Below are 23,214 nucleotides of genomic sequence, written 5' to 3' on the forward strand. Positions count from 1 at the left end.
GGGTTCAAGCGATTCTCCTGCCTCAGCCTCCCGAGTAGCTGGGACTACAGGTGTGGGCCACCAAAGCCGGTTAATTTTTGTATTTTTAGTAGAGACAGGGTTTTGCCATGTTGGCCAGGCTGGTCTCAAACTCCTGACCTCAAGTAAGACTGTTTCTTAATACTAATCAGATTTGACAACAGATGAGGCCATCTGTGATGGAGGTTCTGCGCCCGATTACACATTCCCCTGTAGCTCATAGACTCAGTGCTCCTTTCTACAGAGGAGAGATTCCATAGTCAGTGTTCCTGGGGTTCTGTTTTTACTTTTGAAGTTCCAGAACTTAGTTTCAGTTCTTCCTCTTGATGTCTCTCTTTTGTTCTCTCCCCCTCTCTCCCTCCCTCCCTGTCTTTTCTCCTGTCTCCCTGTCACCCTCCTTCCCTCCTTTCATATCTTTCTTTCTTCATCTTGTTATTTCCATCTGTCTGCCTTTCCCAAGGCAGGAAACCCCGGCGCCTCCAGGCTGGTGGTGTCTGGCTCTGGGCTGCACAAGCCACAGGCCACCTGCCATCAAGCACAGAATGGACTTGACGGGGACCCTGACAGCCAGTCATTCCTGGGACTAGATAGGGTGCAGCCGGGGTGTCCGAGGTGTTTGTAGTCATAGTGGCATACCTACACTGAAGAGGACAGCTTTTTTGTAAGCGGTGGTTGCTTCACTCATCAAAATAGCCTATTTGTGAAGGCATCAATGTGCAAGTATTTTGGAGCAAGTAAAATCAGTCCTGGAGATTAGAACATGCAGGCCTACTGGGCCACAGGAATGGGGCTGCCTGTTGAGACTGGAGTGCAATGCCCCCCAACCCCACGCCTGCTGTTCTTCCCTCTGCTCTTCTCCCTTCCCACCTCCTTCACTCTCCCCTCCTTCCCCACGCCCCTCCCTCCCTTTTGGTCATCAGTGCACTTTGCAGGCATCAGATATTTGGGGCTCTTCAAGTGCCTCCCCTCTACATCGGTGTCCACGGGCTTGCTGAACAGTGAGCCTCTCCTCCCTCCTGGGACTGGTCCTCTTCAACTTGAGCCTTGATCTGGAGTCGATGGTAGAGGGAGTCCACTTCTCTTGACCCCGACTCTCACCATGTCAAAAGGAGGTGATGTTTCCAAAGGTAGCAATTGAAGGAGCCTCTTTATCCCCCCATAACAGAGAAAGCATCGGGGATGCCTTGGCCTCTCAGCCACGCTTTGATGATTGGCATTTGATTGTTCTCACATTTCATTATCGTGAACCACTAATAATGTTGGCTAATTGTTTATTTCATTTATAATTCCTTAAATCTCCATCTAGTCTTGAAGCTGTTGCATCCAAAGAGAGTGCTGCCAAAGAGAAGTTTAACCACAGGTGCCGCCCTGACCACACTTCCAAGACTATCTCCTCATGTGGGTTCTCCTTACATCATACATTTGACCGTGAAACCCATGAAGACAGGCGTCCAATGGAGAGGAGTGTTGGAGGCCTCTTCCCTTTCCACATGGCCCTAGAGCCCAGTGTTTTCAATGTGGTGTGACTCCCTTTTCCAGCGGCGAAATCGTTCCCCCGCTTCCCAGAAGTGTGCTTTAAAGACATTTTGTGATAAGGGAGTGCAGGTAGGAAGGGGTCTAACCTCCCCCAGGGCTCCCTGCGCCTCGGCGGCTGAGGAGGTGGCAGTGGAGGCCGCCCGACCCCCCTCTCAGCCTCCCTGTGCTGCGTTCCCTGCCCTGCCGGGAAATGGAGATTCTGCGCCTAAAGACACACAGTCACGCTGCTTTCAAAGTTTCAGTTCCCACGGCCATTCTAAAATGGCCCCTGGAGAGCTCTGGCTTCCTCCTGCGCCCCTTCCCGCGCCCGCCCCTGGGTGTCTCCGCTGGCTCCCCAGCATCTCCTCCCAGCTCGGGATCTCTCTCACTCATTCCTCCCTCCCTGATTCTCGCCTCCATTCTCCCGCTCTCCAGCAGGGCGCAGCTCCCTCTTGCTCTTTCTGGAGAAGCAGGGATCCCAGAGACCCCCTACGAGCTGGTTCCCTCCCAGACCCCGTCCCTCCAGTCGCTGGCTCAGTTTCCTTCAGTTTCCTCCAGCTCATCTCCTGCCCACCTCAAAAGCAACAGGTCCAAGATCCCAATCAGCATTTCTCGCACAGCGTTTCCGCGAGAACGTTCCCTGATCATCTAGAGTTAGGGAAGTAGAACCGTGCCCTGCACATGATAAGCACATGGAGACTCTAATCAATGAGAGCTACTATGATTGCTGCTCACGGACAGCGCCCAACAGCTCTGTTGTCCCTGCTAATGACACCGTCGTCCCTCCCCTGGTCAACCACGACCCAAATGTTAAAGTGACCTTTCACTCTTTTCGCCAACATGTATCCGCTCCAAGACCTCTCCTGTCCTAGGGCTACTGGGAGCCTTACCTGTGGCCTCACCTTGCTGTGCAGCATTGGGGAGTTGCTGCTCTGCACCTTAGAGATGTCAAATGGGAAGAGTGACAGCTACTTCAGCAGGGTTTGAGGCAACATTAGGCAACACAGTGTAAATAAATTACATAACAATCTGCTTGGCACTTAGTGATGGTTCAATAAATGTTACCTGTTGTCGTCGTTGGAACTGTTGACAGAATTCAGTGAGACTTCAGTGATGGTTTCTTGAAAGAGTCACTTATCATATTCTGCAATCAAAGAAGGAAGAGAGGCCAAGAAATAAACAGATACATGTGCACATGACACAAGACCCAGGGTGAGCAGATGTTCAGAAGACAGAGCTAAAGAAAGACTAGAGAGACAGACAGACAGACAGAAAGACTAGACAGACAGACAGACAAATAGATAAACAGGTAGAAAGAAAGACTAGACAGATAGACAAATAGACAGACAAATAGACAGGTAGATAGATGGATAGACATGTAGACAGACTAGACAGACAGACTAGACAGATAGATAGATAGATAGATAGATAGATAGATAGATAGATAGATAGAGGCGGACAGACAGCTTGGTAAATGGGCAAATGATAGAAAATATAAATAAATATATGAAGGAGGGAGAAAACTGAAGCAGAAAAAAAGTAAGAAGAACTCGTGGTCATTTTACTAAACTTTTAAAAACTTGAACCTAAAATTTTCAAGATAACTTTTTTCTGCCAGGAAAAAATACATATATTAGTAGAATGTGTCAATACCTGATTTTTTCCACAGTAAGAGCATTTCCCTTTGAATACAGTCATAACTGGTTCTCCGTTAGTAGTAATCACAGCTCATCTCTGTGGATATTGTTGGTGCTTTCAGTTGCTCCAGTACACATCTATTTTGAAATCACCTTTAGCTATAAAGGAAGAAAAAAGAAATACCATCTGTAAATGCTTGCTCTAGAGGTGTGTCATAAAAGTACAGTCCCATTAACCTACTGTCCTTATGAAACTGGTGGCTATTTTCTTTTCTTTTCTTTTTTTTTTTTTTTTTTTTTTTTTGTGAGACAGGGTCTCACTCTGTTGCCCAGGCTGGAGTGCAGTGGCGCGATCTCGGCTCACTGCAAGCTCTGCCTCCCGGGTTCACGCCATTCTCCTGCCTCAGCCTCCCAAGTATCTGGGACTACAGGCGCCCGCCACCACGCCCGGCTAATTTTTTTTTTTCGTGTTTTTAGTAGAGACGGGGTTTCACCGTGTTAGCCAGGATTGTCTCGATCTTCTGACCTCATGATCCGCCTGCCTCGGCCTCCCAAAGTTTTGGGCTTACAGGCCTGAGCCACTGAGCCCGCCGGCTATTTTCTATTCTTATGTTAAATGTTCTCTCTTTACCTTCCATTTTAAGGGAATTGACAAGGGAGCAATTCAGAGCAGGGGTTATCTTATCTTTCAAAGGAACAGAACTGGCCACATCCCAGTAGAAAGTAGAAAGGATAGCATCCCTGTCCATGTCAGGAGCACAAAACAAAAAGTACAAAAATTGTGATGTAAACCACTTGAAACTTACAAGGCAGTACATAGGGATATAATGACTTCATCATCACTGATGCAAAGAGAGGTTTCTAGATACGTGTTTATCTGTGAGCCCCAGGTCCCCGCTAATCTGTGCTGATGTCTTGAGGAAAATTGGAGTGAGAGTAAAAACTTTGATTCACTCACATACTTTCCTTTTTCAAGTAGGCATTTCAGTCTAGCCTTGGACATGCATTAACCAAACGACTGGAACTAGTTATTCACTAAAGTGACCACAGATTTTTAATATAGTCTGCATCAACTGTTTTGATTATGAGAATTTTACTTCTCTTTTCTTGCTAATATAATGAGTCAAGATAGCTCAGTAAGTTAAAAAATATTCAGAGTTTGATTATTTGTTTATCATTTGTTCAAAAAACACCATCAAATACCTAGATTGTGAGATAAATGAGGAAATCATAGCACCATCTCCATACTGCTTATGCATCAGGCACTTGCTCTCAGCACTTTACATGTGTGTGTGTGATTTACAGTTGTGTGAAGTGGATGGTATCATTGTTCTCACTTTACAAATGATGAAAGTGAGGCCCAGAGATGTTAATTTGCCCAGGGTCACACAGTGAGAACGGGTGGATCGGATGGGCACCGAGGTTGTCTGGCACCAAGGATCTGTGTTCCTGTTTTGCTACATGTAGAAAGTGTGTTGCCTTGCCCATTAATGAGGTCCCAGCATCTGCCCCGGTGTTTGATAATAATAAGGGCTTAATGATCGTGAACCCAGAAAATCTGAGACAGGTCTCAGTTAATTTAGAAAGTTTCTTTTGCCAAGGTTGAGGACACGCCCATGACACAGCCTCAGGAAGTTGTGACGACGTGTGCCCAAGGCGGTTGGGGCACAGCTTAGTTTTATGTATGTTTTAGGGAGACACGAGACATCAGTCAGTACATGTGAGAAGTACACTGGTTTGGTCTGAAAAGGCAGGACAACTTGAAGCAAAGGCAGGAAAACTCGAAACAGGGAGGGGCTTCCAGGCCACAGGAGATGAAATGAAAGGTTACATTCTTCTGAGTTTCTGATGAGCCTCTCCAAAGGAGGCAATCAGATATGCACCTATGCCAGTGAGCAGAGGGTCACTTTGACTAGAATGGGAGGCAGGTTGGCCCTAAGCCGTTCCCAGCTTGACTTTTCCCTTGAGCTTAGTGATTTGGGGGCCCCAAGATTTATTTTCCTTTCACATGATCATGTACGGAATAAAGAAATAGATGAACACCCATGATGTTCAATGTACTCAATGAAGCTCTGAGTACTTAAAGAATAAGAATGATAAAATGTTTCCTGCCCTCAACTAAATTGCAGGCTGATTCTTGCAGCTTGAGCTAATTCATAAGAAACTAGAGATTCTAATCCACTTTCACCAGAGGGCCTTCAGCTAGGACAGAGGCTCCTCCAGGGTTTGTGTCAGCCGCTGTTCCAAGTGAAAAGTAGTGCTTTGTGTCTATTCATTCCTTCAAGGCTCATGACAACCCTATAACCCAGGGACTATTATCATCCCGTTTGCCTGGGGAGGAAACCCAGCCACAGAGCAGGCAAGGACCTAGGCCTTGATCACACAGGCAGGAAAGAGCTGATCCCAGATTCAAACTCAGGCAGTGCAGCCCAGGAGGCCTCACCCTTAACTGCCAAGCTTGGCCGCCTCTCAGGCACCTAATACTTCCCTGGAGGAGTAAATGGTGGAGGTGGGGATAGAGAATGGCCAGACTGAAACTCCACTGAGAAGGATGCCTGGGGCAGAGCTGTCTTCCTTTGAACTCCTCGCAGAACTCATTCTTTAACTTAGCCCCAGAGGCAACCACAATTCAGTGTGGTTCTTTTGTTTGTTGTGTGTCTGTGTTTGTGTATGTGTACAGATATGTATCTACGTGTCTATATACATAGATAGCTACAAACACAAATACATATTTGTATATACTGTGAGGGTTATATTTGTATTATATGTAACATATATCTCTATCACTGCCTAGAGGAAGGTCTTGGACATTTTAAACATCATTAAATGGCACTATAGTGTATTTATCTTTCTGCAGACTTGCCGAAGAATACAAAACATTTGACCCTAAAAAGTGACTCTGCTCACTTTTTAATTTTAAAATGTGATCAGAGATATAGTACTTGGATGGGCAAAAAGTGAAGGAATTTGCTTTGATAAAGACTGGCAACCAGAGGAATCTTTTAGTCCTCTTTATGTACTGCCAGTCTGAGCCTACAAATATTTTTTATTAAAAATACAGAAAAAAAGGCAACTTTTTTTTCTAATATAGAAAAGGAAATGTCCTAGGTCTTTTAGTCCCCTGGGACTCTTGCATCACAAAATCAGGAACTGGGACATTGGCACCTCCTGAGGATGGGACCACCCAGTGTGGGCTTATATATATGTGCACACACACAGCACACTTGTCCCAATGTCTACAGGATGTTCTACTCCATGATCTAGACCATTTGCGTGACCTCGCGCAAAGGCAACAGTACTAACCTTGGAGTCTAAACGCCAAGGGTATGAACGTGGGCACGTGTCGCATACTTCCCAGTTCATGCATACTTTCCAAACAACGCACAGCCATGAGTGGGAGAGGGGAGAGGATTGAATTTCGTGAGCAGCATGCAAGATGTATTGACAGGACTGCACCGAGAGTCTTTTCTCCAAGGAAGGTCAAATTTTAACCTTTTAACGTTGGAAGTGAAGACACCTGATATGATCATTGACAAACCAAGAAATACTAAAAACCCTCAAGAGTTGAAGCATTCTTTTACAATCCTTGTTTTAGATACCTTTTTAATAGGGTGACCAATTGCCCCAGTTTGCTCAGCACTGAGAAGTTTCCCAGGACACAGAACATTCCAGGCTGAGGCAGGATGCTTGGTCACCCTACTTCTGCACGTCAGCGTGCTTGGGAAGCGCCCTGCACCACCGGCATTCCTGGGCCCCAGAACCCAGGCACTGGGCCGGATCAGGCCCCAGGCCCCAGGCCCCAGGCACTGGGTGGGATCCGCAGAACATGGGTCCTGCCTCTCAGCAGTTCAGGTCTCTTCACATTTCTCAGCCTCCTATGGCCACGGTTTCCTGTGCTCTGTTCACGTTTTTCAAATGTGATGTTTATTATTTCTTAACTTGTAATGTGTCAAACAAGTATAAGGAAAGCTAACGAGACGGAAACATAGGGAAAAAATATTTTTAAAGCAGTATTACAAGAAGAAAGTGAATACTTAAGCGGAATTGGTGAAAACCTTTAATTTACAGAAAGTGTCACAAACCCACTTCCACTTCATTAGAGTACATATATTATATCAATTCTTAATAGTAGTTATAAATTGTAATAGGAACCAGGAAGACTACAACATTTATCAGTTCACAAGTGGATTTTTCGTAATCCTGCTGTCTTCAGGTATACATTTATGTCCCAATTTCTTTAAGACACAGAGTCATAAAGAGATTCGGGTGTTCCCTGAGCTACAAAGCAGAAGAGCCTCCCTCGGCCCCTGGGGAGCCTGCTCAGGAATCGGGCTGTGTGGGGACAGTCTCCTCACCTTTGGGCATGAGGTGGGGCTGGGCAAAGACCACCCAGCTCCCTAACCCCTACTCATCCACCTCCTGCCCCAGTTAAAATCAATAAATATTTACTGGCAGCTACAGGTGTCTGGGGAGGCAGAAAGGAACAAGTCATGGGCCCCCACCCAAGGAGGGGGCAGGATGCAGCGTAAGAACCTGCGCTTGGTCACTGAGGTGCTTGGCCTCAGGCCACCACCTCACCTGCGCAATTAGGTACATGGTAAGAGCATGGTGACGGTTCTCTCTCCGCTGGGGTGACATGGGGATGTTAGGTGACCTCGAGGGCCATTGACACAGTCAGATGTGGGAGCCCCGGGTCCATTGCAAATGGATCCAGTCTAATGGGGGAGAGAGACCTGCCTTCCTCACACGGTGGTGGCCAACCTCGACGTTAGATTTGGGGGAAGTTCAGAGGAGTGAGCGGGCCTCCCTGGGGGGCTTCCCAGAGGTGGGCTTAGAGCCAGACTTTGAAGGGCAGGCAGGGTTAGAGTAATGAGCAAAGGGCAGAGGAAGCAGTGCGAGCAAACGCGGGGACCTGAGCAGGCCCGTTGGGGCAGCAGGAGGGCAGCAGGGTTCTGGGAAGCAGGGGAAGCCGTCCTGTCCCGGCCGGCTGCTGGGAGAAGGTGGGGGCAGAGGGGAAAATGGAGGGAAACTGGTGCTTCCGTGTCCACTGGTCAGGGGTGGGAGTTGATTAGTAACTGAGGGAGGAAACATAAGATCCTCTCTGAGTGGAAAGTCTCTAGCAGTGACTATCTCTGAGTCCTTCTCCAGTCCCAAAGCTCTGCCATTTCTGCCTTTGCTGCTATGAAATAAATATATATATATGTATATACTGTTTGTATGTGTTTATGTGCATGTGTGTGTGTATGTGGGGGTGCATATATGTGTATATATGTGTATGTGAGCATGTATGAGCATACATATGTATGTGTGCGTGTATATGTGTGTATAAATATTATAGATTCAGATTTTCCCATATTTCCCCACATTCTGCCAGCAGTAATAGAACAAGCTACATAAATTGCCACAAACTGTCAAATATTCAGGATTCTCTGTTCTCAGAGTTCAAAGAGAAGTAGTTGTAACGATGGTTTTCATATTGAAATGAGAACTACTAAGCTAAGCTAACCTAGAGAGGATTCTAGCAAATAGATCTTGGATTGATTCCTTGCTTGCAATTTATCTAAGCAATCCATACCAAAAAAAAGTAATAAATATGCAATTTTGCCTAAATCTCATGAATAACTGATAAAAAGCTAGATTATCTGGGCTTCAGCAAGTACTTTCACATGGAGTTATAAATACAGAACATTGAAGGAGTGGTCGGGAGGCCAGGATCCCAAGTCAGACTGTGAGAATTCAATCTCTGGGTGCCTTTTCATCTCTAGTCTGATTGATAGACTGTGGAGTGCGTTCTCCAAAAACAAGTTTTAGAGGAGCCACAAAGTCGGAAGGGGCTGTGGGGGAAGCACCTTCGGTTGCCTGCTTGCCACAGCTGCTAGTCAGGGAATAGGTACATCGGGCCGTTCCTCATCTTCCTGGCCTGCTGACCCACAATTATCCTCACTCAAAAGCACTGTAGATGGGACCAGGCACGGCGGCTCACACCTGTAATCCCAGCAGTAATCCCAGCACTTTGAGAGGTTGAGGCAGGCAGATCACCTGAGGTCAGGAGTTCAAGACCAGCCTGGCCAACGTGGTGAAACCCCATCTCTACCAAAAATACAAAATTTAGCCGGGTGTGGTGACATGTGCCTGTGGTCCCAGCTACTCAGGAGGCTGAGGCAGGAGAATCACTTGAGCCCAGGAGGCGGAGGTTGCAGTGAGCCGAGATTGCGCCATTGCACTCCAGCCGGGCGACAGAGCGAGATTCCGTCTCAAAAACAAACAAACAAACAAAAAAACCCACCAAACATTGTAGAAGAAGGAAACACCCTCACTGTGGATCACATGCATCACTTCTGAAGATTTATTTTGTTAAGGAAAGAAACTTTGTTTGCCTCGGGTTTTGGGTTGGTGATGAGTTTTCCTCGTTCAGCTCATTAGCCCATAGAACAACTGCTTCAGCGCATCACGCTGGCAGGGCCCTGAAGGAGAAGATAATCCGCTCTTTCTGAATCCATAGGACAATAATAGCAAATTCTGAGCTTATTAAAATACATGGTGTCACCAGCTCATCAGAAAGGGCAACAGGCAGTATACCAATGCAGTTCTGGTCTTGTAGTTTCAAAAGGCTAATTACTTTTACAATAAAATAAAGAGAACTTACCTGTCATTGAGCTGATGCATGTAAAAGCTGTTTCTAGCTAATAGAGGTTTCTGCAAATGATTCAGTACACATTTTCCACAATGTTCCACAAATCATATTGGGGTATAGTTGTTGGCGGCATTTCATACCTGAGTGAGGTGTGATCATGTTTTAATTAGGATCCTGTAAGGTGAAAATAGACTGCACATGCAAATAGTCGGAACTAATTGCCTATTTTCATGATACATAGTGATTTCTAAGAAAATTATGACTAATTTTAAATGAACTAAAAATATGAAGTGATATCCAACCTGAATCCTGTGATAGGGTTTGGGAGTTTCTTACCTAAAGGGCTAAATCTTTGTCATTTCATTTATAGCCATTCATGAACACAGGTAATAGTGTTTGCAGATCTTTATAAAAATGTGTGACATGGATTGTTAACATTAGCTTGGCCTCAAGGTAATTTTCCTCTAGAAGTATTTATATATTTTAATAGACAACTGACAGACTATTGGGGCTTCAAGTCCTTTCCTTATAAATTTGAATCCACCTTTATGTTATTACTGCATTCAATTTTCTCTAGATTATATGTGCCAATACAAAAATTCTAACCTTTTCCCCTTGGTTTAATATTTTTCTGTGTGTTTTTATATGCATATGGGAAACACTGACAGAGATGAAACACCCATCCCATCTGTTATCCTTGTCCTCTTTCTCTTCTCCTCTACCCCCACCAATCACAAGTGGGACCCTGGAAACCCGGGGCTGTAATGCATGAAAGATCTAGAAACGAGGAGAGGTAGAACACACTAATAAGAAGAGCCCATGGTCAGAGCACCCCTGCAGATTGTCAGGAGCTAAGAATGGAGGAAAAGAGAGACTCATTAAGCCATGCCCCATGGAGAGGCAATGGGAGGTGCATAAGAAATGTTTCTGGAAGTCCTGACCAGGGCAATCGGGCATGAGAAAGAAAGAAAAAGAGAGGAAGTCAAACTATCCCTATTTGCAGACAATATGATTCTATACCTACAAAACCCCATAGCCTCTGCTCAAGACCTCCTTGATCTGATAAGCAACTTTAGCAAAGTTTCAGGATATAAAATCAATGTACAAAAACCACTAGCTTTCCTGTACACCAACAACAGCCAAGCTGAGAGCCAAATCAAGAACACAATCCCATTCACAATAGTCACAGAAAGAATAAATACCTAGGGTATAGCTAACCATGGAGGTGAAAGATCTCTGCAGTGAGAATTGCAAAAGACTGCTCAAAGAAATCAGAGATGACACAAACAAATGGAAAAACATTTCATGCTTATGGATAGAAGAATCAATATTGTTAAAATGGCCATACTGCCCAAAGCAATTTACAGATTCGATGCTATTCCAATTAATCTACCAATGACATTCTTCATAGAATTAGAAAAAACAATTTTAAAATTTATGTGGAACCAAAAAGAGACTGAATAGCCAAGGAAATCTTAAGCAAAAAGAACAAAGCTGGAGGGAACACATTACCCAACTTCAAACTATATGACAAGGCTACAGTAACCAAAACAGCATGTACTGGTATAAAAACAGACACATAAACCAATGGAACAGAATAGACAGCCCAGAAATAAGGCTGCACACCTACAACCATCTGATCTTTGACAAACTTGACAAAAGCAATAGGGAAAGGACTCCCTATTCAATAAATGGTGGTGGGATAGCTGGCTAGCCATACGCAGAAGATTCAAACTGGACCCCTTCCTTATACTGTGCACAAAAATCAACTCAAGATGGATAAAATACTTAAATGTAAAACCTAAAACTACAAAAACCCTGGAAGATAACCTCAGAAATACCATTCTGGACATAGGATCTAGCAAAGATTTCATGACAAAGACACCAAAAGATGTTGCAACAAAAACAAAAATTTACAAATGGGACCTAATTAAACTAAAGAGCTTCTGCACAGCAAAGGAAACCATTGACAGAGTAAACAGATAACCTACAGAATGGGAGGAAATATTTCCAAACTATGCATCTGACAAAGGCCTAAAATTCAGAATCTATAAGGAACTTAAAGGAATTTACGGGCAAAAACCAAACAACCCCATTCAAAAGTGGGCAAATGACATGAACAGACATTTTTCAAAATAAGACACAAATGACCAACAAGCATGTGAAAAAATGCTTCACATCACTGATCATTACAGAAATGCAAATCAAATCCACAATGAGATACCATCTCACACCACTCAGAATGGCTATTGCTAAAAAGTAAAAAAATAACAGATGCTGACAAGGTTGCAGAGAAAAGAGAATGCTATACACTGCTGGTGGGGGAGTGTAAATTAGTTCAGCCATTGTGGAAAGCAGTGTGGTGATTCCTCAAAGAACTTAAAACAGAATTACCATTTGACCCAGCAATCTCCTTATTGGGTATATACCTGAAGTAATATAAATCATTTTACCATAAAGACACGTGCACGTGTATATTCATGACAACACTCTTCACAATAGCAAAGACATGAAATCAACCTAAATGCCCATCAGTGGTAGACTGGATAAAAAATGTAGTACATACATACCATGGAATACTATGCAGCCATGAAAAAGAATGGGATCATGGCTTTTGCAGCAACATGGATAGAGCTTTTATCCTAAGCAAGCTAACACAGGAACAGAAAAACAAATCCCACATGTTCTCACTTATAAGTGGGAATAAACAAGAACACATAGACACAAAGAGGAGAACAACAGGCTTCAGGGATTACTTGAGGCTGGAGGCTGGGAGAAGGGAGAGGATCAAAAATCTACTTATCAGGTACTATGCTTAGTACCTGGGTGAAAAAATAATCTGTACACCAAACATCTGAGACACATGTACCCCTGAGCCCAAAATAAAAGTTAAAAAATAGAAGAAAAGGAAAGTAAACCCCCAAAAAAGAAATATTTCTCAGACTCTTGGAGAAGCTGTCCCCTCACAGGGAATGGGGAGAACAGTCTCTTAAGTTTCCCCAGAGAAGCTTTGTCACAAGTAATCTCAAATCCAGATCTGGTTGAATTCTCTGAGAGAGAAAGAAATGCAAAATTAACACTCAACTCAGGAAGGTTGATTAAGAGAAGGTGCTAATATTTGCTTTCCTTTTCCTCAATTCTGAAAATATCATACTTCATTTTTTTTCTTTTACCGCTGTTTATAAGTATGTTCACTTTGCTATCAGGTCAGTTTGGTTCGTGTGGGACATTTCGCTAGGATTTTATTTCTTTTCTTAATAAATAGTCAATATTTGTCAACATATCACTTTTGACATTCTGTTTTTTAAATACGCTTTGTAGAAAGTGAGAGATTTCTTTAAATGAAATGATTTCAGTCGCAGAACACACATTTGTTTTTAATCTCTGGTCCCAGTGGTATTTATCTCTTACTAAGAAAGCAAGCTTTCCTTTTAGAAAGTGATCTGTTCCCTCATTGTTTTATTTATAATTTAGAGTATGGGTAGTCTGTCTGCTGAAATGAAAATAATGACCACAGCCTATTAAGTTTCTCCAAATGGAACAGGTGATACCCAGGGTTTCAAAAGTCTGAAAATAACAAATGATCAATGAGCAAAGAAATGAAGGTATAAGGCCTAAAATTTGCAACATAAAAATAAACACATCCTCAAGAAATACTGAAATCGATTTTTATTTCCTTGGCTCACATTTGTGCTCATTACACATCAGACATTTCCATGATATTCAACTCCCTACGGTTTAGATGTGAGAATAGCACATGGAAACAAGGACACTCACACCCAGTTGTGTTTCCCATCCCTGTTTCCTGGCTCATCACTACATGATGAGATGCTTGAGGGAGCTGCTCTTCACACTTAACGCCCAGCACTCAGCGTGTGCCCAGATAGAATGGAGGCATGGATGGTAGCCTGCTCCATTTTAATATTAGATTAAAATGCAAGCATCTCATTTCTTTCTACAAAATTAAAATATAAGACTGTCAGGATCCATAAGTGTCTCTTATAATGAAAGTGGAAGAATTAGAATCCATAATCTTATTTTTGCAATAAAAATATGAATCACTGTTCACAAATATTCAGCGCAATAGAATACCAAGTGAGATTGTGCCTGTCTTAGAAAGAAAGGCAAGCTCTCAATCTGTGGATACCATATGGATGTCGCTGAGAAGGAGTGGGGACTTGGGCAGCAAAGCTGCCAGGCGTTGGGGAGCATATGGAAGTGGCCTGTTTGGGGCCACAGACGGTCGGGCAATGCTTCCTTCTCTCTTCACAGTTGTCTAACATATTGCCACTGTCTACATGAGCATAACTTAATAGCCAATTTGAATTCTATTGTAGTTAAACTTGGTGTTATCCTGTTAGTAAACTAGCTTATATTGCACAATCGAGTCCAAAGATTATTTTTGCTTTATTTACTACATAAAGCAAATACTCTGTAAAGAACTGAAACCACTTTTATTCATAGACTATATTGGAGATTTTCTTTTCTTTTCTTTTTTCTCTTCTTTTCTTGTCCTAAGACATAACATAGTACCTTCAATGAAGATGACGGTGGTAGTGCTAGTATAGTATACAAATTAGAAAAAGGATAATTGCAGAGATCAGAATCTAAGCTACATTTTACTTTTTTTAAAAAAAAAAGATTGTCAGGTTATCATGTTAAAATTAGCATCTTCTCTATATTAATAAATCAATTCTGTGATTAAAAGTCCAGAAATAAAATAACAAATAAATGTGCATTTTATTTAGCTATTTTTAGTGTGCTATTGGATTTGAAGCTAATTTGGCTAAGCACACGTTTGGATTTCCATCTTTTTTGGTATCACTTCCTAGGATTTTAGTGCAGTGGCTCCTAAAAAGAATGCTCAAATATTACTTATAATCCCCCAAGATATATCTTCTTTGCATGGAATAAAATGTGAACTAACTTGGAGAAAGGAACACTTTAGACATACATTTCATTAATGTAAATATCCACCTCAAACTATGTGGATTAGCATCTCTTAGAATTGATGTTACAATGCTAACAAGAGAAAAAGAAAACAAAGTACCGGTCTACAAAAATATTTGTCTAATGCCGAATGTTAGATTATTAAACAGAAAAGCACATTAGCTAATGTGAAATGATGTTTTTCTCCAAATTTATTACATTTTCCCCCTCTGTGTTAAATTTTCTTTAAAAGGAGATCTCACAGGAGTGGATAGGCAAGCTGGATCTGTGAGCAGCTACAAATAGAAGCACAAGACAAAGTAATCTATAGGCTGGCACTCACATTCATTTACTAAATAAGGTCGTGAGCAATATTAGGCACATTTTTCTGACACCTTTCCCAGTTGACTAGAAGTTGAGTGCATTTAGTAAAGGAAGTACACAGTGAACTGTTGTTAGTATTTATCAGGAAACGTGATGAGTGGCCCTGAAATAGAGCATCTTACCATCCAAATTTCTCAGTAGCCTTAATAAAGAATAGTCAGTAGCCTTAGTGCAGACTAGCTGGAGTAGATCTAAGCAGTATTAATGTGGCAGTCCGCCTCAGCATGAAAGTGGAGCTTTGCAAAAGGACGAGAAATGGATTTGGATGGGCAAGGTTGAAAGTAGTTGTAAGTTGATCTGGCATTTTATATTTCATTAATCAATTTCTAAATCTATAATTAAAAGAAAACTACATTGAGTGGTTGGGCATAAAGTAGAGATTGAATGATACCCACAACAAATAATTGTTAATATTGACAGGTTATGCTACAGGGATTGCCTAATTTCACAGATGAGGGTAACACAAAATGAGACAACTGCTACATAATGTTTATTCTAAAGGAATATTATGACATTACTGAGTTTTGAATTTTCCTTTGTATTGACTTTTTCATAATGCATGAAATAAGCATACATCAACCTAGTTAATACCTGAACAAGACAACATATCCAAGCCATAATTTGATGTAAAGCATGTGACACAAAGGAAATATCATATTGTAAATATCGTACTGTAAACTAACAACTGAAAACTTCCATATGTCTAAAGTACACAAACATATTCTTTATTTTACCTTCACATTCTTTCTTTTAAAGAAAGAAAAGCCATTGCAACTCAGCAGTGAACAAGGCAAAGACAGTCAATTGAAATCAACCCTCCATTGCACAGTAAGAGTATATGTGTGAAGTTCTTGAGCCGAGCCCCTAAAAGTCTCCATGAACATCAAACCACGCCTGTTGGGGGACCTCAGTTCTCTACCAAATGTCTTGTTAATTGAGCTTTGGCAAATGTCTCCATGAGGACCATTGTCACCCGTCATGCTCATGAGAGTCACGGCCTACGCTTCCACATACTTTTAAAAATCTTATTAAAGATTACAGAGCAGTCAGGTGAGTACACAGACAATTACATCCAGACGATGAACAGAAGGACAGAATAATGTACTAACTTTCTGCTCTTTAATGGACTTTACCTGTGACCCAAATATATTCCTTCTAAAGCATTTATAGAACTATCAAAGTTTAGATATTGTAATACCAATGTGTAATCCATTCTATAATGCAGAATATCTTTCTAAAATGTGAAAAAGTGCCAAGTATTCAATTCAACACAGTAAGTGTTGAACATGAGGACAAAGAAAATTCACTGGAGGGCCTTCATTAAAAAATATCCCCACTGAAAATAAAGCAGAGACCACCAGAGTGGACAGAGCACTCACCATGGCCTTAGAAGGTGGAGCTTCCAAGCGGATGCACCCATTTCTATGGGCTGAGGACCATAACCTCTGAGCATTAACTTCCTCTTCCAAAGCACATGGATGATATCTACTGCAGAGGCATGTTGAAGGGATTAAATTGGTTAACGCATACTGAAGCAGCCACTAAATTTCTCTGTTAAATACATGTATCTCTTCCCCTTACTTTTGCTGAGAACAAAATAATTTCTGTTCTTTGTTGCACCCAGTTTGTACTGAAGGGCATAACCTTGAATATTTGAAAAGGAAAACTCTCTTCAGTTCAATGGAAGATATAGGACATGTTAAGTAAGAAACAGCAAGCTCTTTAAATCAGTGAATAGCTGTATTGGGGGGAAAAATGTGGTTCATCCCAAGGCAGCCAAAAGTTGACCTGGTGAACTGTCTGGTTGGTTTTATGCCCTATTTAAACACACATTAAACAGATCTGAAGTGTCTTAAAATGGAAAAATGTCTTCGTTCAAATAATAAGAACTTAATAAAATTCTTCATTACTTCACTGGAGCCTTATTTGACAATACTAAATTTTTTCTCCTAGGCTTACATGATAGATTCTATCACAGAATCTTTCTCTCCCACCACCTTTTTTTTAAATTCCCTTTGGCTCTTAACTCTACCATTATGACAGCAACACTTAAAGCTGACCTTTTTTTGACAGAGTTAGCAATTCTCCTCCAGGCTATGTAGTGATTCTTCAATGCTTATGTGTAAATTATGCAACTGTCTCATACTTCACAGAAACATTTTATAATCCTGTGTACTATTCCATCATTGGTTTAATGAAAACATTAACACTTGGTTTCCATAATATTTACCATATGGTAAAGTCACTGTTTTATAGAGTAAAGGGACAGATAGCTGAGGTCAATTTAAATAATTGTCTTAAAATTCCCCATGATGAACAAATTTTTTAAATTTATCTTATCTACCAATAGCATGGAAATATCAAGCTTATATACACAGGTGGACTTGCACCTTTACCGTATTTGATTATTTTTCATAACTTAGAATCTAGGCATATATCTATGTAATGGAGTTTTTACAGAAGCCTTTGGACAAGAACACATTTGTTGTAATTCTCGGTATTTAAATCAATTGCGCATAATAAAATGACTCATGAAAACATTCTACTTAATATGGTATATCTTCCCGTAGTAAAAGATGACTTCCTCGTTCCTCCCCCTATAAGAGTTACCAATGTAAGCAGTCGAAATGGTTGAGCCTCTTGGTTTTGCACTCCTACCAAGTCTGGTTTGTAACTAGGAAAATAAGCAAACAGGTCATGAGGGTATGAGGGGAGGGTAGCATAATGCAGTGCTCATTCTCTTCCTCTTCCTCAATAATTCAGCCCAAAGCCACCAAATGGAGCTGAGCACGTGCAGTCAGCGTCTACCTGCAGTGGCAGAGGGAGCCACTGTGGTCCAGGGAGGGGTGTCAGGGCCTAAGAAGAGTGAGGAAGACATCTGTGTGGTTGGGAAGCACTGCCAATGGCCCTGCAAGTGGGATCAGAATACCAGAGTGACCAGAAAGGCATCTGCATTGGGATGAAGAAGGAGTACAGAGCAGTGGGATATTGGTTACATACAGGGGTAGATCAAATGAATAAATATAAAAAGGATAATGGGAGCCAAGAGAGTTACAAATATGAAAAGATAGAGAATTTGAAAATACTCTGGGGTATTGGATTAGAGTTGAGATACTGGCATAAACTCATGATTTTCATTATAGATAAAGGTAGCTGTGGAAATGAGCATGGTTGTAACTATGTGTATGTGTGTATAGCTATGTTCACTGTGAGGGCCCGGGAGCAGTGGCACCCCAAAAGCAGTGAGCACATCTGGTACCTGGATTTTGGTTTCTAAGTACCATTCTCCCTAAAAAGGAACCAAAGCTCCTTGAGAAATGGCCAATTCCAGAACTAAGGCAGGAAAAGTCCAAGAATGATCTTGGAACAGAGCCATGTCAAAAAGAAAGAAAATGCTTAAAGAGCAAAGGAGACATGTGCAGGGGACACAGATGCTGGCTCAAAAGGGTTGCCCAATTGCCAAGTCAGGGACCCTTTGACCTTCAAAATAAATGATAGTAAAATGGGCTATAACCCATAGACTACATTAGGAATTAATGACTCCATATTAATATAAATGAATAAATGAATAAAAGTTTGATGAAAAATTGTATATTTACCATTATTTCATATTATCTCCCAACAAAATGCACATTAATTATAAAGGGAAGAAGAGTAACTTTACTTTGGAAACTGATAATCTTTTTTTTTTTTTTGAGACGGAGTCTCGCTCATCGCCCAGGCTGGATTGCAGTGGCACGATCTCGGCTCACTGCAAGCTATGCCTCCCAGGTTCATGCCATTCTCCTGCCTCAGCCTCCCGAGTAGCTGGAACTACAGGCACCCACCACCACGCCCAGCTAATTTTTTGTATTTTTATTAGACATGGGGTTTCACCTTGTTAGCCAGGATGGTCTTGATCTCCTGACCTCGTGATCCACCCGCCTTGGCCTCCCAAAGTGCTGGGATTACAGGCATGAGCCACCATGCCCAACCAGAAACTGACAATCTTAATTGAAGGATCAAGGTTAACATGGCTATGAAATGGACAAATTAAAAGCACGTGGCAGCTGATGGAGCACAGTGGGATATATCTGCCAGAAATGCAAAACCTGACTCTAATCATTAGGAAGTGTCAGACAAACCCCAATTGAGGGATGTTCAATTTTTAAAAAACAAAACTGCCCTGTAACCTTTTAAAATGTCCAGGGCATGAAAGTCAAGGAAAAAAAAAACAAAACAAAACTGAAGAACTGTTTTAGATAGGAGAATAAAGAGACATCACAAATAATGCAACATGTGATTCTGGATTGATCTTTTTGCTATTAAGGATGTTATTGGGACAACTGGCAATATGTGAATGAGTTGGGGATAAAGTGGTAGTAATATACCGGTGTTTGTTGCATTTCAGTGCTTGTGTTACGATTATGTAGGAGAATGTCCTTGTTTGTAGGGAATATACACTGAACTATTTAGGTTCTTTTTGGTGATAAATGAAGTTTAGTATCTTTTCATGTGATCATTGACCATTTATACTTTTTTTATGAAGCCTCTATGTATATCCTTTACCCATTTTTCTATTGTTTTGGTTATTTTTTTCTCATTGATTGGTATTAGTTATTTGTAAATTAAGGAAATTAACCCTTTGTCAGTTATAGGTATTACGAATACCCCCACTTAAAGTTTACAAATAAATCCATTGATCTTTTCCTCAAGGACAGTAAGGGATTTTGCTTAATTCTGTTTTTACATTTTAATTATTTGCTCTAACTGAAATTTACATTGGTTTAAATAATGAGATAAAGATCTAGCTGTACATTTTTTAAAATGATTAGTCAATTGCCCCAACACCATATAAAAAGTAGCCTCTCTTTTTCCCACCTTTGAAACACAACCTATATCACAATCTAAATTCTACTTTATTTTGATCTACTTTTGGACTCGATTCTGTTCTTAACTATTTCTTCTCCAGGGCCAACCAAACTCTTTTCATTAATAACATGCTTCGGTAGAGTATTGTCCAATAGAACCGTCTACAATGATGAAAATATTCACTGTTTACTCTGTCCAGTATAGTAGCCACCATCACATTGAGCCTGGAGATGTGGCTAGTGTGACTAAGGACGTGAATTTTTTATTTTATAAATTTCTAATTAATTTAAACTTAAATTTCAAATAGCCACATGTGGCTAGTGGCTACCATATTGGACAGCAGAGTTTTATTATCTTACTGGGGAGTTTCTACCCATTCTTTCCACAGTTTTCCAAGATATTCTCACACGTTTATTTTTCCTTCTCATAAGAAATCTAGACTTTCTGGTTTTCCAGAAAAGGTCACATTGAATTTACAGAACACTTTGGGTACAGTTGTTATACTTTTAAAGTATGACATCATTAAGCCTTCTTTTAAGTCTCTCAGTAGAGTTTTAAAGTTTTCTTTATATAAATTTATACATCATCTTTTAAATCCATTCATATATATTTAATCTTTTTTTAATTTTTATTTTGTTTTATTTGTTTGCTGTTGTAAATGGTGTACTTATTTCAATGTCTTTTACTATATTTTCTCACTGATAATTATTTATATATAGTGCAGCTATGTAGGTATATTTTGTAATCTTTTGGGTAATTCTCTTTATGTTTTCAGGTTGTTGTAATTCTTCTTTCCAGTATTCAAACTTTCTAGTTATTTCTCATTTAACACTGTTGGCTGCCATTTCAATGGCAGTTTTAAGTAGTTGTAGCAATGGTTAGGATCCTCGTCTTATTCCACACTTTAATAGGTATGTTTTAGCATTTTATCATTAAGCTTCATGCTGGCTTAAAAAAGAAATCTGTCAATTCTTGCCTTACCACTGATTTTTAACATCAGAAATGAAGGTTGACATTTGTTAACATGCCTCTTCTCCTACCTTCTATGTAAGTTATATAATTTACCTCCTCTAATATATTACTAGTATATATTAATTTGACCCATTTGTAATTTTTTTTTATCTACCCATGTATTCAGGAAATAAATGCCACTCAGTCACGGCATTTTTTTTTTGTGCAATGTACTGCTAAATTTCTTTGGTAATTATGTAAAGATTTTTGTAATATTCAAGATAATCATCTATTTTAGAACTATTCTATCATCTTTCAGTGTCAGTGGTATGCTGTCATTATTTAAAAGAATTTTGGAGGATTCTTTCTATAATAGTTTAAATAAGCTTAAATAGAGAAATATCATTCCATGGAAAGTGGAATTAATTTGCTTCTAACGCCATCTTGGCATGGCATATTTTTATGTTAATTTAGCAATAGCTTTAATAGCATGCATTGTTATATTGTTCTGTTTTCTGTCTCTTCTGGAGTCAATTTAGTAGATTCCATTCTCCTTGACTAGGTTGATCCTGATATCATTAATCTAATGCCAAATTTAGAAAGAGGATGTTTTAGGGAAATATGATAATTTTATTTCTAGTTCTGTTGCATTTAAGATGCTCATGGGACATCGAGGTAGAAACAGCCAATAAACAAATAGAATATATATCTTAGAGCTATTTATGAGCAATCTGGGCTGGAAAGGTAGCCACATGCATGACTGTGGTGGTTAATGAGATCACCCAAGGACAACATAAAGCAATGACGAGTAATGGCCCCTGGTGGAACCCTGGAAACCCCAACATTTAACTGGGTAGGAAGAGGAAAAGGCTTGAGAATGACAGGAGAGACAGAAAAGTCAAGAATAAAAGATCAAAATCTCCCAATGCTTCAGAAAGGACAAATAGACAAATACTGAAGCATACCCATTGGATTTATTGTTTAGGAGATCAACAGTGGCCTCAGCAAAAGCGATTTCCAGGAAGTGTTTGAGACAAAGCCTGCTTTTGGGTGGCTGTAAAGTGCACTGAAGGTCAGGAACCGCAGCAGTAAGTGTAGGATGTGCTCATCAGAAGCCCGGCTGGGAAGAGAAGGATCCATGAGTCTTAAGTAATTTTAGAGATCATTTTTCAATTGAACACATGAAATGTAGACTTTTCCCTCTTTTCTGTGTCCAGAGGACGTGAGAAAGAAAGTTTTTCCTGTGTTGTCTAATAGAGAGCTGGCCGTTGTAAAGAGCATCTGGGGACAGCTGCCTTGTCATGCACTTTGAGGGATCTGGGACACCAGGGTGATGTGGAGATGTGAAAGGAGGGCCATAAAGCAGTGTCTGTCCCCAGTGGAGCCAGCACCAAGGGCAAGGGCTGGAAACCGAGGGGCTTGCACATCACCAAGGAAACCAAGGTGGAGGAACTTAGACAAAAACCTGGTGGAGGATGGGCAGAAGACAGTAATGAAACCATCGATTCACAGGCTGCTCTCAAGAGAAAAGGGGAAGAAAAACGAAGAGGAACACAAACTGAAGGCAGGATTTTTAAGGAAATATTTACAAATGCTTGAAAACTATAATTAATGTAAAGCAAGGATAGCTGATAAATAGAATATCTAAAATGCAAATGAGAGCTTAATGGCTTAGAAAAATCAAGTTGAGTCTGACTACTTCACCCAGCCCTCAATAAACACCATCCATCTACCCTTCAGCGCACCCAGCCCCCGTACACACATGCGTGTGCATACATATGCACATGTACACACAACGCAGAGATACAACTTTATCATAGTGTGAGATGCTGTCGTATTTGGCAACATTGCTATATTTTCCCCCAATTTGCTGTCCAATTTATTTTAATTATTTATATTTAGGAAACCCTCTTCCAAGAACAAAACCACCTATTATTTAAGGTTCTGCTGTCTTTAACTAGCACTGCAACTTTACAATATTCAATGTGCTTGCTTTCAACTTGCATTGTCTAATTAAATCCTCCAATAATCCATATAAAAGCAATGATCGTTTATACTTGCTGTATCTACAGAATTACATTCTCCATGAGGAACTTTGAAATACCCACAAGCATTCCACCAGCACGCCTTTGCAAGTGAATCTTCCCAATTTTCATTCAAAACTTCCGTTGAGTCCTAATAGGACTGGGGTCTGGGCACAAGTGTGAAAGACTCTGGGATGGGCAGAACCAGGCTTGGCGATAGAGGCTTAGCCTGACTAAATGAGGCCTGGGAATGTACCGCTCCCTGCAGAAG

At 40.9% G+C, this 23,214-nt stretch overlaps 1 protein-coding gene and 1 long non-coding RNA gene across 7 annotated transcripts in view; both read left to right on the forward strand.

Moving 5' to 3' along the window:
* The window catches only part of PACRG (parkin coregulated), a 588,369-nt gene that overhangs the window by 466,854 nt on the left and 98,301 nt on the right, over positions 1-23,214 (forward strand). Inside the window, exon 5 of one of the 6 annotated variants that reach the window (XM_011535462.4) lies at positions 1,325-2,565. The exons of the other annotated variants lie outside the window; for them this stretch is intronic. Coding sequence (XP_011533764.1) covers positions 1,325-1,518 — 194 coding nt within the window. The 3' untranslated portion in view covers positions 1,519-2,565. Of the gene's footprint in view, positions 1-1,324; positions 2,566-23,214 lie in introns of those variants that run through there. 6 annotated transcript variants of the gene reach the window in all.
* On the forward strand, positions 15,291-17,655 carry LOC105378095 (uncharacterized). Its single transcript, XR_943198.3, has 2 exons — positions 15,291-15,404; positions 15,874-17,655. It is a non-coding gene; the product is annotated as an uncharacterized LOC105378095 (long non-coding RNA).

The sequence above is a fragment of the Homo sapiens genome, chromosome 6, assembly GCF_000001405.40.
Source record: "Homo sapiens chromosome 6, GRCh38.p14 Primary Assembly".
NCBI classification, from domain to species: domain Eukaryota; kingdom Metazoa; phylum Chordata; class Mammalia; order Primates; family Hominidae; genus Homo; species Homo sapiens.